This window comes from Homo sapiens, chromosome 6 (assembly GCF_000001405.40).
Source record: "Homo sapiens chromosome 6, GRCh38.p14 Primary Assembly".
In the NCBI taxonomy this organism is placed as follows: Eukaryota; Metazoa; Chordata; class Mammalia; order Primates; family Hominidae; genus Homo; species Homo sapiens.
The window spans coordinates 10,507,502-10,521,621 of NC_000006.12; the positions used below are offsets into that span (position 1 = coordinate 10,507,502).

General features: G+C 43.3%; 1 protein-coding gene, 1 long non-coding RNA gene and 1 pseudogene across 10 annotated transcripts in view, besides 4 other annotated features; 2 read left to right on the plus strand and 1 right to left on the minus strand.

Moving 5' to 3' along the window:
- Positions 1,159 to 13,905, minus strand: LOC101928146 (uncharacterized). 2 transcript variants are annotated; one of them, XR_001743961.2, is made up of 3 exons: positions 13,847 to 13,905; positions 2,842 to 3,139; positions 1,159 to 1,802 (listed from the first exon to the last, which is right to left on the minus strand). It is a non-coding gene; the product is annotated as an uncharacterized LOC101928146 (long non-coding RNA). The 2 variants fall into 2 exon arrangements; XR_241974.4 differs by lacking the exon at positions 13,847 to 13,905 and adding an exon at positions 13,566 to 13,768.
- Positions 6,684 to 7,445, plus strand: LOC100422564 (glucosaminyl (N-acetyl) transferase 2, I-branching enzyme (I blood group) pseudogene; annotated as a pseudogene).
- Positions 10,981 to 11,481: an enhancer, noted in NCBI's record as "H3K27ac hESC enhancer chr6:10518715-10519215 (GRCh37/hg19 assembly coordinates)". NCBI's record gives its function as "activates a minimal SCP1, AML or CMV promoter by ChIP-STARR-seq in primed H9 embryonic stem cells {active_cell/tissue: H9 hESC(primed)}" and the evidence as "EXISTENCE:reporter gene assay evidence [ECO:0000049][PMID:30033119]".
- Positions 11,497 to 11,641: an enhancer, noted in NCBI's record as "145 bp enhancer 266 fragment used in the MPRA reporter construct; PK_construct_3935". NCBI's record gives its function as "activates an SV40 promoter by MPRA in HepG2 cells {active_cell/tissue: HepG2}" and the evidence as "EXISTENCE:reporter gene assay evidence [ECO:0000049][PMID:23512712]".
- Positions 11,564 to 11,574: a transcriptional cis regulatory region, noted in NCBI's record as "NFE2L2 motif; enhancer activity is reduced when this motif is scrambled". NCBI's record gives its function as "necessary for full MPRA enhancer 266 activity {active_cell/tissue: HepG2}" and the evidence as "EXISTENCE:site-directed mutagenesis evidence [ECO:0005528][PMID:23512712]".
- Positions 11,721 to 12,416: an enhancer, noted in NCBI's record as "H3K27ac-H3K4me1 hESC enhancer chr6:10519455-10520150 (GRCh37/hg19 assembly coordinates)". NCBI's record gives its function as "activates a minimal SCP1, AML or CMV promoter by ChIP-STARR-seq in naive H9 embryonic stem cells {active_cell/tissue: H9 hESC(naive)}" and the evidence as "EXISTENCE:reporter gene assay evidence [ECO:0000049][PMID:30033119]".
- GCNT2 (glucosaminyl (N-acetyl) transferase 2 (I blood group)) overlaps positions 13,850 to 14,120 on the plus strand; it is a 108,018-nt gene continuing 107,747 nt past the window's right edge. For 6 of the 8 annotated variants that reach the window (XR_926136.3, XR_002956275.2, NM_145649.5 and 3 more), the window contains exon 1: positions 13,850 to 13,916. The gene's annotated coding sequence lies outside the window, so the exon portion shown is untranslated. Of the gene's footprint in view, positions 14,094 to 14,120 lie in introns of all 8 variants that reach the window. The other 2 variants (XM_006715052.4, XM_047418633.1) reach the window with 1 other exon arrangement.

Here is a 14,120-nt window from a genome sequence, read left to right on the forward strand (position 1 = left end):
AGGCCCCACCACAGACAATTATCTGGTCTAAAATATTGATAGTGCCAAGGGTGAGCAACCCTGCTTTAAATGATGATGACATAGTATGTGTGAAAACCCTCTACAAATCCATACTGCTATTTTTACCATTTTACAAGTAGATTTTTCTAGTATGACAGCTATTCCTGGCAATGTTAGCCAGCACTAGGCCCTCAGCTCATGTTTGTTGGGTAGACCAGTGCATGTCAAAGATGATTAGCAAACATTATGCTAAGTGAAATTAGCCAGTCACAAAAAGAAAAATATTGCATGATTTCACGAACATGGGGTATTTAAAGTAATCAAACTCATGAAAACAAAAAGCAGAATGTGGTTGCCAGGAGTTGGGGGGAGAGGAAATGGAGAGTTGTTCTTTGATGGGTATGAAGTTTCAACTTTGCAAAGGTGAGAAAGTTCTAGACATCTGTCATACAACAATATGCAATATAGTTAACACTATATTGCACACTCAAAGGTGGTTCAGATGGTAAATTTTATGGTAGGTGTTATTTACACAATTTTTAAAACTTTAGGTGGGCGCGGTGGCTCATGCCTGTAATCCCAGCGCTTTGGGAGGCCGAGGCAGGAGGATCACTTGAGGTCAGGAGTTTGAGACCAGCCTGGCCAACATGATGAAACCCCATCTCTACTAAAAATACAAGCAATTAGCTGGGCATCGTGGCACATGTCTGTAATCCCAACTACTCGGGAGGCTGAGGCAGGAGAATTGTTTGAACCCAGGAGGCAGAGGTTGCAGTGAGCTGATAATTGCACCACAGCACTCCAGCCTGGGCAACAGAGCTAGACTCCGTCTCAAAAAGCAAAACAAACAAACAAAAAAACCTGTTTTAGCAAGTCTTCAACATTAGTGATTAGGGGTAGAATTTGAAGTTTCCAGGTTACTGTGGCAGTGTGTACACCTGATTAAACACTACTCTTCCAGCTAATTTGACAGAAATGCAACAATATATTAAATATGGAAGGAGAGGGGCAGGTGATGGGAGAGAGAAGTTGTGAAAAGCCCCACAATGTGTCCTCATCCTGGAGACACTGAGTATGTGCTTGAAAATAGGCTGGTTCCATCGTGTAATGGTTAGAACTCTGGACTCTGAAAATAGGCTGATGTATTGGACTAACCTGTAATTGTGAGAAATAATTTATTTGCAGAAGATAAAAGACTTAGAGGACATTTATAAATATAAATGTTATTAGAATTAGGTGACCTTCAAAGGAGTACTGAATACGCCTGTTGGTTTTGGTCACAAAGTTTCCCAAATCATTTTTGTTTTGCTTCGATTATATTTACCTAATCCTGATAAGTTTCACCCGAATGAATAAATGTTATCGCTCTGAGCTTCAAAGTGCAAATATTTTACCAGCCTCATTGAAAAGCACAAATATTATCTTTAGCATAGATTGGTTTCTCAGGGTAGAAAACTGCATATAAGAACAAATCTCATGAAGTTAAGGTTATCTCATTCCCTATTTAATTTGTCCTTTAGTTGAATAGTGAGTTAGAGCTAGAGACATGCTTATAAAATTTTGTTTTCTGATGTCTTCTCTGTAGGACAAATGGAAGGAAAGATTTTTGGAAGCAGCTTCTTGTGTCCGACCCGCTGTGATCAGCTGCTACTCCCAGGTCTGGGGTTAGATGGCTTTGTGACTTTCCTTCTCTGGATGGCATTTTGCTTTCCTCTGTAAAATGGTGTGATGAATGAGATGACCTCTAAGCCTCTTTCCATGTCTGTCACTGGACTGTCCTCTTATGTAGCCATTTAAGTTTTCTAATTAAAAAAAAAAAATTTAAAATTTGATGCTCAGTTAAGTTACATCAAAATAATTAAAATGAAACTACAGGTTGAGTATCCCATATCCAAAACGCTTGGGACCAGAAGTGTTCTGAATTTCAAGTTTTTTCTAGGTTGGAAAATTTGCATATACATAATGAGATGTCTTGGGGATGGGACCCAAGTCTGAACATGAAATTCATTTATATTTCATATACACCTTATGCACATAGCCTGGAGATAATTTTATACACTATTTTAAATAATTGTGTCCAAGAAGCAAAGTTTTGGCTGCTGTTCGACTGAGACCCATCACATGAAGTCAGGTGTGGAATTTTCCACTGATGGTGCCACATTAACTCTCAAAAAGTTTTGGATTTTGGAGCATTTCAGATCTCAGATTTTCAGACTAGGGATGCCGAACCTCTATGTAATTTTGCTTTGAATGTGTCTGGGACACTGGGGAAATTTTGATTTTTAAGATTCATCTCTAATTCTGAAAATAACCTGGTTGGGTGCAGTGGCTCACGCCTGTAATCCCATCATTTTGGGAGGCTGAGTTGGGCAGATCTCCTGAGGTCAGAAGTTCGAGACCAGCCTGGCCAACATGGTGAAACCCTGTCTCTACTAAAAGTGCAAAAATTAGCTATGCATGGTGGCACACACCTGTAGTCCCAGCTACTTGGGAGGCTGAGGCAAGAAAATCGCTTGAGCCTGGGAGGCAGAAGTTGCAGTGAGCCAAGATCGCGCCACTGCACTCCAGCCTGGGTGACAGAGGGAGACTTCGTCTCTAAATAAATAAATAAAATCTAAGTGATGGCACGTCACCCCGGGGCATCTTTCCACTTTCACATTCTCTCCTGGCTGCTTTACCTGCCCTGCCAGCACAGTCCAGAGGGCCCCCACTAGCATTCCACATGCCAGGCCTTGCTTAGATGGAAGGCCTTTTCTTCCATCTAATCTAACCTGTCTCTTGTCCCATTTTTCCAGAACCTCTATTGGATGGCATTTTCTAGAACCTCTATTGGTTACTTACGGCATAATGAGATATATAGAGGTTATTGCTAGGTCATCCTTCTTGACTCAAATCTCATTTAAGCAATTAGCTTCCTTATGAAACTTCATAAGGGTCATTGTGGATCCCTTGGCTGGCTGATGGGGCTGAGATCTTGGGATAGGCAGGTTTTTCCTTGCGCCTCGAATGCCACGTTGAATACTCCTCATGTCTTTGGAGACATGTCCTTCCCTTCGAGCTGCTCCCAGTCAGGTGAGGAATAAAATGCTATGATGGCGTGAAAATTCTCCCTTGGTCTCATCCATAGATTTGCAATCACCTAAAAAAAAAAAAGGAAGAGTGTGCCAAGCCACCCCATATAGAGCCACTGTGTGGCAGCACTGCCTCTCGCCAAAGCTTGGGCCACTCGGTGTCAGGCAAAGTGCAGTGGGGTGAGTTTCCAGTTCACTGGCGGTACAGGTAGCCCCTAGAAGCGATCGTGTGCAGTGAGAATAGCTAGCATTTCAGAGTGTTCACTATGCGTGAATACTGCTCAGAGTGCATTCTACTTATTAACACATCAACTCACAAAACAGCCCTACTGGTATTATCTTTATTTTACTGACAAAGAAATTAAGACAGATAGGAAAAGTGATTTGCCCAACGTCACACAACTAGGAACTAGCAAAGCCAGGATCTAGACCCACGCAAACCTCTCTTTGAAGCTCATGCTTTGCTACCAAATATCGTGTCATTCTGGCATTCACGAGGAAATCTTGAAAATAAAGCAAAAAGTTGTAAAATGGTATCAAGTCCACAATCGCTGTCTTGATGTAGTGCAAGCACAGTGGTATACAAGGGACATCCGTAGATACAGAGGAGAGGGTCAGCAAACCTTCTCTGGTAAAGGCCAGATGGAAAACATTTTAAGCTTCGGTGGTCAGATGTGGCAACAACTTAGCCCTGCCATTGTAACGTGAAAGCAGCCATAGGCCCTGTGTAAACAAATGAGGACGGCTGTGTTCCAATAAAATTGTATTTATGGACACCGAAATTTGAATTTCATATAATTTTCATGTGTCACAAAACATTTTTCTTCTTTGGATTTTCTCCCAACCATTTTAAAATATAAAACCATTCTAGCTGAGAGATTGTCTAAAAACATGCAGCGAGCCAGACTGGACCCCCCCAGCTGTGGTTTTGCTGATCTCTGGTATAGAGGAAAGAAGGGTGGCTAAACTTAATTCGGTGAGTGCCTACCATAAGCAAGGTGTTGAAAGTGCAGTGACCAGCAGACCGAAATAGTTCTCCATGGGACATTATGTTGAGTGAAATAAGCCAGGCACAGAGAGACAAATATTGCATGATCTCACTCATGTGGAATCCACATAGAAGTAGAGAATAGAACAGTGGTTACCAGAGAATGGGAAGGGAAAGGAGCAGGGGGGTGATGAGAGATGGATCAACAGGTGCCAAGCTATAGATAGAGAGGAAGAATAAGCTCTGGAGTTCTACTGCATAGGAGGAGGATTACAGTTAATAATAATGCATTGTATATTTCAAAATACCTGGAAGAGCAGTTTTTGAATGTTCTGATAACAAACAATAAATGTCTAAGGTGATGGATATGCTAATTACCATGATTTGATCATTACACAATGTATACATGTATTGGAACATCATGCTGCATCCCATAAATACGTATAATTACCACCTGTAAATCATACATTTAAAAATAAAATATTAACTTTTTGTTTTAAAAATAAATAGTCCTCCATGGACTAGTGGTAGAGCAAACAAACAAGCAATTGTAGGAGTACAAGGTTTTATTAGGGCAGGTGAAGGGCTTCTAACCCAGACTTGGAAGAGCAAGGAAGGGTCACCAGGGAAGCAGTGTCACATAGGGACCTGAAAGATGAGTAGGAACTCAAGACAAGGCAGGGGGAGAGAATATTCCAGGTAGATGGCCTATGCAGTGAGAAGAGATAAGCTTGAGGCTAGGCACAGTGGCTCATGCCTATAATCCCTTTGGGGGGTCAAGGAAGGAGGGTCCCTTGAGCCCAGGGGTTCAAGACCAGCCTGGGCAACATAGTGATACCCCGTCTCTACAAAAAAACGATTTTTATTTTTTTATTTTATTTTATTTTTTTTGAGACGGAGTTTCACTCTTGTTGCCCAGGCTGGAGTGCAATGGTGTGATCTTGGCTCACTGCAACTTCCACCTCCCGAGTTCAAGCGATTCTCCTGCCTCAGCCTCCCTAGTAGCTGGGATTACAGGCATGTGCCATCATGCCCAGCTAATTTTGTATTTTTGGTAGAGATGGTGTTTCTCCATGTTGGTCAGGCTGGTATCGAACTCCCAATCTCAGGTGATCTGCCTGCCTCGGCCTCCCAAAGTGCTGGGATTACAGGCATGAGCCACCTCGCCCGGCCCCAAAAAAAATTTTTTTAAGGCTGGGTGAGGTGGCTCACTCCTGTAATCCCAGCACTTTGGGAGGCCTAGGCGGGTGGATCACCTGAGGTCAGGAGTTCAAGACCAGCCTGGCCAACATGGTGAAACCACTTCTCTACTAAAAATACAAAAATTATCTGGGCGTGGTGGTGGGTGCATGTAATCCCAGCTACTTGGGAGGCTGAGGCAGGAGAATTGCTTGAACCTGGGAAGCAGAGGTTGCAGTGAGCTGAGATCGCACCATTGCACTTCAGCCTGAGCAACAAGAGTGAAACTCTGTCTCAAAAAAAAAGAAACAAAATCTTATGTTTAATTAGGCAAGCAATGTGGCTGGCACCTGTAGTCCCAGCTACTCAGGAGACTGAGGCAGGAGGATGGGTTGAGTCCAGGAAGTTGATGTGGCAGTGATTGCACTCCAGCCTGGGCACAGACCCAGACCCCAACTCTAAGATAAGAAGAAGAAGAGTTAGGTTTGAAAACCCCAGGCTGCCATTAACTCATTACTGGATATCAGGCAAGCTAGCATATCTTTGGGCGTAATTTCTTCATGTGCAAAGTGGATATAATGTCAATGCTTACCTCTCAGGCCATCAGTGAGAAAATGGAGACAAAATGTGATAGAATAGTCGTTATGGGTCATTGTCAGTGTTCTTTATTTGTAACTGAATCAATTGGTGAGAATAATCTGCAAGATTCCTTTCAATCCTGAAATACTATAAATTCTTGATCTTTATTTTTAAGTAAAGAGACCCCACTATCGAGGAGTTCTGGGTGCTGTCCACGTAAATGGTGACCTACTTCAGGACAACTGTGATTGCCTGAAGTTGAAGAAATATAGTGTCCCTTGCATTCAAAGGTGACATCAGTGATGGTGATGGTGGCTCTGCATGGGAAAAAGAGGTGCCAAATGAACACACATTCCACCTGTACTCCACATGGGAAAAACACCCTGAGCTGGCAGCTGTGGCCGATTTGCTAGGGTCTTAATTTGTGGTTGACCTAGACAGAGGTGCCCAACTGTGCCTGGCTTTTGTGAAGTGGTCAGCTGGCCCCACTGGCTCATGTTCAAAGAGTCACCTGATTTTTTAAATAGAAGAGCTACCGACTTGTGGTTGATCCTCCTTCTTTTAAGTAAATGGTCATATTGCACTTCTTGCTGCAAATAAGTTGCTAGAGCACATTTCTCAAGTCTGGGCAGGGACCTGCAGACTGACTTCAGCAATGGCATAAAATCAGGTGAATGATGAATCCAGAAAAGACCATAGGAAAAATAAAGGTAGAGGCATTTGGGTTGGTCCTAGGGCTTATGGCCACGTCCATAACTCTTTTATTCCTGTATAGTAACTATTAGGTCCCGCAAAAATATCTTCCATGGGGGAAGATCTCAAACTCTTCAGTCCTTGCAGAAGTGTGTGGCATGATTGTGACAGGCAAGAAAATGTTCTTGGATGAAAATATACCAGTGACGCCATTGAGAAATAATAACCTGCCAGCGATACTTGATCCGAAATCACTGCATAATGGAACCTGTGTCCAAAGACGAAGCCGAGTTCCCTTTGGCCTATGTCATGGTCATCCGCAAAGACTGATACATTTGAAAGACTCTTGAGGGCCATCTACACTCCCCAAAACATCTACTGTGTTCATGTGGATCAGAAGGCCCCAGTCACTTTCAAAGACGCTGTAAGAAAGCTACTGAGCTGCTTCACAAACGTCTCTGTGGCTTCTGAGAGGGAGTCTCTGTTCTACACAGGGATCTCCAGGCTCCAGGCTGACCTGCACTGCCTGAAAGACCTTGTGGCCTCTGAGGTTCCCTGGAAGTACGTCATCAACACCTGTGGGCAAGAATTCCCCTGAAAACCAACAGGGAAATACGTTCAGTATCTGAGGTTACGGAAAAGGAAAAATATCACCCCCGGGGTGCCGCCTCCTCCTCATATTATCAGAAGGACCAAATACATGCACTTGGAGCAGAGATAGCTTGTTTTCCTTCATGCTGTGGACTTGCATGAGAAAAATGCCTCCTCCCCACCATCTGACAATTTACTTTGGCTCTGCCTATGTGGCCCTTACAAGGGAATTTGCTAATTTTGTTCTTCAAAACCTAAGGGCCATTGATTTACTTGAGTGGTCAAAAGATACTGACTCTCCTGATGAGCATTTCTGGGTGACACTCAGTAGGATTCCAGGTATGTGGAACTTGATTTCCAATCTACATAAAGTCTAAACTCTGTGAGTGCACGCACACGTGTGTGTTACACATTGAAAATGGTCTTGATGAAGTTATGTATACCCATCTGTGTTTCTAGACTTAATGAATATCCTGTTGACTGCTTTCCATATGTTTCAATAAATTAATATAAAATATACTTCTGGCCAGGTGCGGTGGCTCATGCCTGTAATCCCACCACTTTGGGAGGCCGAGGTAGGCAGATCACTTGAGGTCAGGAGTTTGAGACCAGCCTGGCCAACATGGTGAAACCCTGTCTCTACTAAAAATACAAAAATCAGCCAGGTGTGGTGGCACTGGCCTGTAATCCCAGCTACTCAGGAGGCCAAGACAGGAGAATCACTTGAACTTGGGAGGTGGAGGCTGCAGGGAGCCAAGATTGCAGCACTGCACTCCAGCCTGGGTGGCACAGCAAGACTCCATCTCAATGAATGAATGAATAAATAAATAAAATAAATTATGCTTCTATGTGTCACTAAATAGACTGTTAGCTTATAGAACATCCTTATTAAATTTCTGCTGTCATTGTATGTTATGTTTTGTTAAATTTTTTGTTGGTACACAGTAGGTATATATATTTATGGGTTACATGAGACGTTTTGAATCAGTCATGAAATGTGAAATAATCACTTCAGGGTAAACGGGGTCTCCATGACCTCAAGCATTTATCCTTTGTGTTACAAACCATCCAATTACACTTTTATTCCTTTTAAAATGTACGATTAAATTATTTTTGACTTATGTTATGCTAGCAAATACTAGGTCTTATTCATTCTTTCTGTTTTTGTACCCATTAACCCTCCCCCTTTCCCTCCATACCCCTACTCCCTTTCCCAGCCTCTGCTCATCATCCTTCTACTCTCTAACTCCATGAGTTCAATTATTTTAACTTTTAGCTCCCACAAACGTGAGAATATGTGAAGTTTGTCTTTCTGAGATCTTTGAATCTCTGATATGACACCCAAAACTTTTTTTTTTTTTTTTTTTTTGAGATGGAGTTTCGCTCTTGTTGCCCAGGCTAGAGTGTAATGCCACAATCTCGGCTCACCACAACCTCCGCCTCCCGGGTTCAAGCGATTCTCCTGCCTCAGCCTCCCGAGTAGCTGGAATTGCAGGCATGCGCTACCACGCCCGGCTAATTTTGTATTTGTAGTAGAGACGGGGTTTCTCTATGTTGGTCAGGCTGGTCTCGAACTCCTGTCCTCAGGTGATTCGCCCACCTCAGCCTCCCAAAGTGCTGGGATTACAGGCTTAAGCCACTGCGCCCAGCCCCCAAAACTCTTTTTTAAGCAATGATAATATGTTGTCTAGAAATTCAGTATCTTCAATATGGATTGGATTATTCATTATAATCTCATTTTCTGTGAATCTATATTACACGCATTTGAAAAGTTTGAGATCTGAGAATGTCAATAAAATTTCTATAAGAACAATATGAAATAATGCAAATTTCTCCAAATGAAAAAAGTTTTAAAAATCCATTAAGAATTTCAAGAATTTGGCCAGGCACGGTGGCTCATGCCTGTAATCCCAGCACTCTGGGAGGCCAAGGCGGGCGGATCACAAGGTCAGGAGATCGAGACCATCCTGGCTAACATGGTGAAATCCCGTCTCTACTAAAAATACAAAAAAAATTAGCCGGGGTTGGTGGCGGGCGCCTGTAGTCCCAGCTACTCGGAAGGCTGAGGCAGGAGAATGGCGTGAACCCAGGAGGCGGAGCTTGCAGTGAGCCGAGATTTCGCCACTGCACTTCAGCCTGGGCGAGAGTGCGAGACTCCATCTCTGAAAAAAAAAAAAAAATTTTTTCAAGAATTCAGAACCATCTTCCAGGTGAACTGTCTGTCAACTGTGTTTGGGCCATGTCCACATGCTGGCCTCACTTGGATTGATGGGTAGAAACCCTCTGTGGGCCAGCCTTCATGAGTCTTCAGGAAGTCATCCTTCGTATAAAATTTTAAAATCCTCTACTAGTTATCCGTGGGCAGAACATTTTAAAACATTCTTTTCTTATTATAAAATTCAATCTTACTGCGGAAACTCTGGGAAAAACAAAAGCATAAACAAGAAAGTAAAATCTACGCATTATACAAAACTGAGAAGTAATTTCTGTTAGCATTTTAGCATTATTTACCTCTTTCTCTGTGTATTGCTTCATGTAGTTAGGTTATACTGATGATGTAATTTTTTTATCCTGCTACTTTCATTTAACACTATATCATAATAGTTTCCCTATGTGATTAAAAATATGACATATTGTATTTTATCATAGTATGGATGTACCATAGTTTGCTTACCAATTCCTCAATAGTTCGTTTTTTCCTTTTTTTTTTTTTTTTTTTTTTTTTGAGACAGGTTCTTGCTCTATCACCCAGGCTGGAGTGCAGTGGCACAATTTCGGCTCACTGCAACCTCTGCCTCCCGGGTTCAAGCGATTTTCCTGCCTCAGCCTCCTGAGTAGCTGGGATTACAGGCTTGAGCCACTGCGCCCCACCTAATTTTTAAATGTTTTGTAGAAGTGGGGTCTCGCTATGTTGCCCAGGATGGTCTCACACTCCTGGGCTCAAACTATCCTACTGGCTCCGCCTCCTTTTTTTTTTCTGAGGCGGAGTCTCACTCTGTCGCCCAGGCTGGACTGCAGTGACGTGATCTCTGCTCACTGCAAGCTCCGCCTCCTGGGTTCACGCCATTCTCCTGCCTCAGCCTTCCGAGTAGCTGGGACTACAGGCGCCCGCCACCACCCCTGGCTAATTTTTTTGTATTTTTAGTAGAGACGGGGTTTCACTGTGTTAGCCAGGATGGTCTCGATTTCCTGACCTTGTGATCCGCCCGCCTCAGCCTTCCAAAGTGCTGGGATTACAGGCATGAGCCGCTGGCCCGGCTGGCTCCGCCTCCTGAAGTGAGGGGATTACAGCCTCGTTCCTAGTTTTTTACTGTGTAAAATGTTATTTTAGTCAATACTGAATAACATCAAAAGTAAGTAACATCTTTTCACATAAGCTTCGCCACATTTTAGTATTATTGTCTTTGGAATTAAAATTCACTGGATTGAAAGATAGCCACATTTAAAATTCTTGATACATATTGCAAAATTGCTTTCCAAAATATATTCTAATTTTCCATCAGTCCACCAGTGTGTGATCACACGTCTGCTAACAGTGGTATTCTAATGTATTTATTTTATTTTTGAGACAGTCTCTCTGTCCCCCTGGCTGGAGTGCAGTGGTGCTATCTCAGCTCACTGCAACCTCTGCCTCTCAGGTTCAAGAGATCCTTCTGCCTCAGCCTCCCAAGTAGCTGGGACTACAGGCATGTGCCATCACACCGGGCTAATTTTTTTTGTATTTTTAGTAGAGAGGGGGTTTCACCATGTTGGCCAGGCTAGTCTCGAACTCCTGGCCTCAAGTGATCTGCCCGCCTCGGCCTCCCAAAGCGCTGGGATTAGAGGCGTGAGCCACCGCACCTGGCCTAATGTATTTCTTTTAAAAAATTACTTGAATTAAACAGAAAAAGAACTGCGCTACTCTTGTTATTTATAATTTGTTAAAGATGAATATATTTTAAAGGTATGTTAGCCATTTTTCTTGTTCTTTGTGGGTTGCCAGTTTTCTGGGTGGCAGGCACAGAATTTCAATGCTCTATTGTTTGTGATGGAGAAGAACAGGTTGGGTGGCCAGGAGGTGAAAGGATAAGGGTATTTCCAGCAAAGAATGGAGGCTGTAAGGAGCTGGCAAGGACTGAGATCATTTGAATAGGCATAATGAAATAGTGAAATAATTAGGTAATTTGCCAAGGAAAAAATCACCCGTTGCTGCGATGATTTGACTTAACTGGCTCTTTCCCAATAAGTAGACCCCGTCTTGAATCTCCAGGACAGTCATCCTTTTTTCCCTACCTTCATCACTAAAGTCTGGGTTTGTAAAATACTGATGTATACTTGGATATTTGATGATTTTATTCTTTGGTTGGTAAAAGGTATAGAATTGTATGGAGCATTTTATTTACCTCTCCAGCAAAATTCCCATGGGCTGGTCTCTATTTTTCATACTTTTGCAAACAGTACAGAATGACAGGCCATGAAGAAATGCTGACTCATGCGCTCATGAGGAAGTTGAATTGTAGATCTGGGCCCAACACACACAATGCAGCGTAAGATGAGGGAGAAGATAACCAGTCACGACCATTAAAATTGTTCCTTTCCAATTAGAAAAAAATAATTCATGACCATTTTATAAAATGTGGAAAATAGGAAAAAAATACATAGAAGAAAGTAAAATTTACCATAATCCTAAAACTCTAAAATAAATGCTGTTAAAACAGTTGGGCTTCTTTTAGTCTTTTCAAAATAGGTCATTTTAAGAATTGTTGATTTGGCCAGGCGGGGTGGCTCACATCTGTAATCCCAGCACTTTAGGAGGCCAAGGTGGGCAGATTACTTGAGGTCAGGAGTTCGAGATCAGCCTGACCAACATGGAGAAACCCCGTCTCTACTAAAAATACAAAAGATTAGTCGGGCGTGGTGGCAGGCGTCTGTAATCCAGCTACTTGGGAGGCTGAGACAGAATTGCTTCAACCCAGGAGGCGGAGGTAGCAGTGAGCCGAGATTGCACCACTGCATTCCAGCCTGGGTGACAGAGCAAGGCTCCATCTCAAAAAAAAAAGAAAAGAAAAAGAAAACAGACGACAGGTGCAGTGGCTCACACCTGTAATCCCAGCACTTTGGGAGGCCAAGGTGGGTGGATCACCTGAGGTCGGGAGTTCGAGACCATCCTGACCAACATGGAGAAACCCCGTCTTTAATAAAAATACAAAAAATTAGCAGGGCATGGTGGCGCATGCCTGTAATCCCAGCTACTCGGAGGCTGAGACAGGAGAATTGCTTGAACCCAGGAGGCAGAGACTGCGGTTAGCCAAGATCGTGCCATTGCCCTCCAGCCTGGGCAACAAGAGCAAAACTCGGTCTCAAAAAAAAAAAAAACGAAAAAGAAAAGAAAAATAATCATTGATTTGGGCCGGGTGTGGTGGCTCACGCCTGTAATCCTAGCACTTTGGGAGGCCAAGAGGGGTGGATCACTTGAGTCCAGGAGTTCAAGATCATCCTGGTCAACATGGTGAAACCCTTTCTGTACTAAAAATACAAAAATTACCCGGGCATAGTGGTGGATGCCTGTAGTCCCAGCTACTCAGGAGGCTGAGGCAGGAGAATTGCTTGAACCTGGGAGGCAGAGGGTGCAGTGAGCTGAGATTGTGACACTGCACTGGGTGACAGAGCAAGGCTCTGTCACAAAAAAAAAAAAAAAAAAAAAAAGTTGATTTGCTATTTCTTCAGTTTATCCTGGCTTTATGACTGGAAAAAAATTTTTTTTAACTCAGTTGGATTTTTTCTTTTTTTTTTTTTTTTTTTAAGTTGATGTCTCACTATGTTGCCCAGGCTGGTCTCAGAATTCCTGGGCTCAAACAACCCTCCCGCCTCAGCCTCCCTAGTAGCTGAAACTGCAGGTGCACACCACCATACCCTGCTTTATCCCCACTGAATTTTATAAGCTGCTTCTGACTGCAAAGTGTTTGGCAGAAGAGAGGGATATGGCTAAATGCACGGTATGACTAGCTTGTTTCCTGGGACAGGAATCAGTTCATTCCTGAAAGGGTATGTAAAGAGCCCGTTTGCCTGGCCTAGGAAAAGCCAGAGGTTCAGAGAGAGGAAGTGACTTGCTCAAGATATACAGCTTGCATTAGAGAGGAGAGAACTTGCCTTCTGAAAATGCCCAGGGCATTTTCTACTAAATTCTGCTGCCACCTTAGGATTCCCCTTCCCCAGTGTGGGTAGCATTTGAGCAGAACACATATCTAAATCTGTTAGAGGTTACCCTGGGGCAGAGACTATAAGATTTCCTACCAATAACTAAACATAAGAGTGGAACCTTAAACACGAGGGGTCTGTGAGGGAATCCAAAACTTCCCCTCTTGAAAAAGCAGCCTCTAAGGGGGCAAAATGGAGGGTAGTCTTAGGAAAACACCCAAATAATTATCCTGAGGTCTATCTTGGAGTGTCCTCATGAAAAACCCAGTTACACCCAGGGCAGTTACCTTTCTGAGCGGTTTCTTATAACATTCCTGGAGTGGAAAGTGATCAACTCAAAGCCCTCCAGGACTCTAGAGGCAGGGGATGAGCTGGTGTCAGGTAGCACCTGGTATCCAGCAGCTTAAAAAATCCAGACTCTAGGCAGGCTCTCTGTAGACGTGTGTTCTCCTGTCTCAGACTCTTAGGGCAGGCCTTGGGGGTGGGACTGAAAGCAAACAGACCTTCCCACTTTCACATTCCAGCCTCTGTTATTCCACTTAAAACGCTAGGGTTAAACTGCGTTTACCTTAAACAGGCTTACTGTGTTCACTGCTGGACGCCTCTGGGCAATCTTACCCTCCTGGGAACTGAGAGAGGTAGGTGGAGGTCAGCGTGCTGGGAAACTGGTGGAGGGAGGAAACTGCGGGGAGCTGGTCTTCTCGTGTTACCTCTGTTAAATCGCTGACAGCAGTTTAAGGTCCAATAGGCTGGTACTCAAATGGGCTGCGTGGATGTTTTATATTTCCAGAACCTAGCACAGTGCCGGGCATAAAGTAAGTACACCAAAAAATGTTGAATGA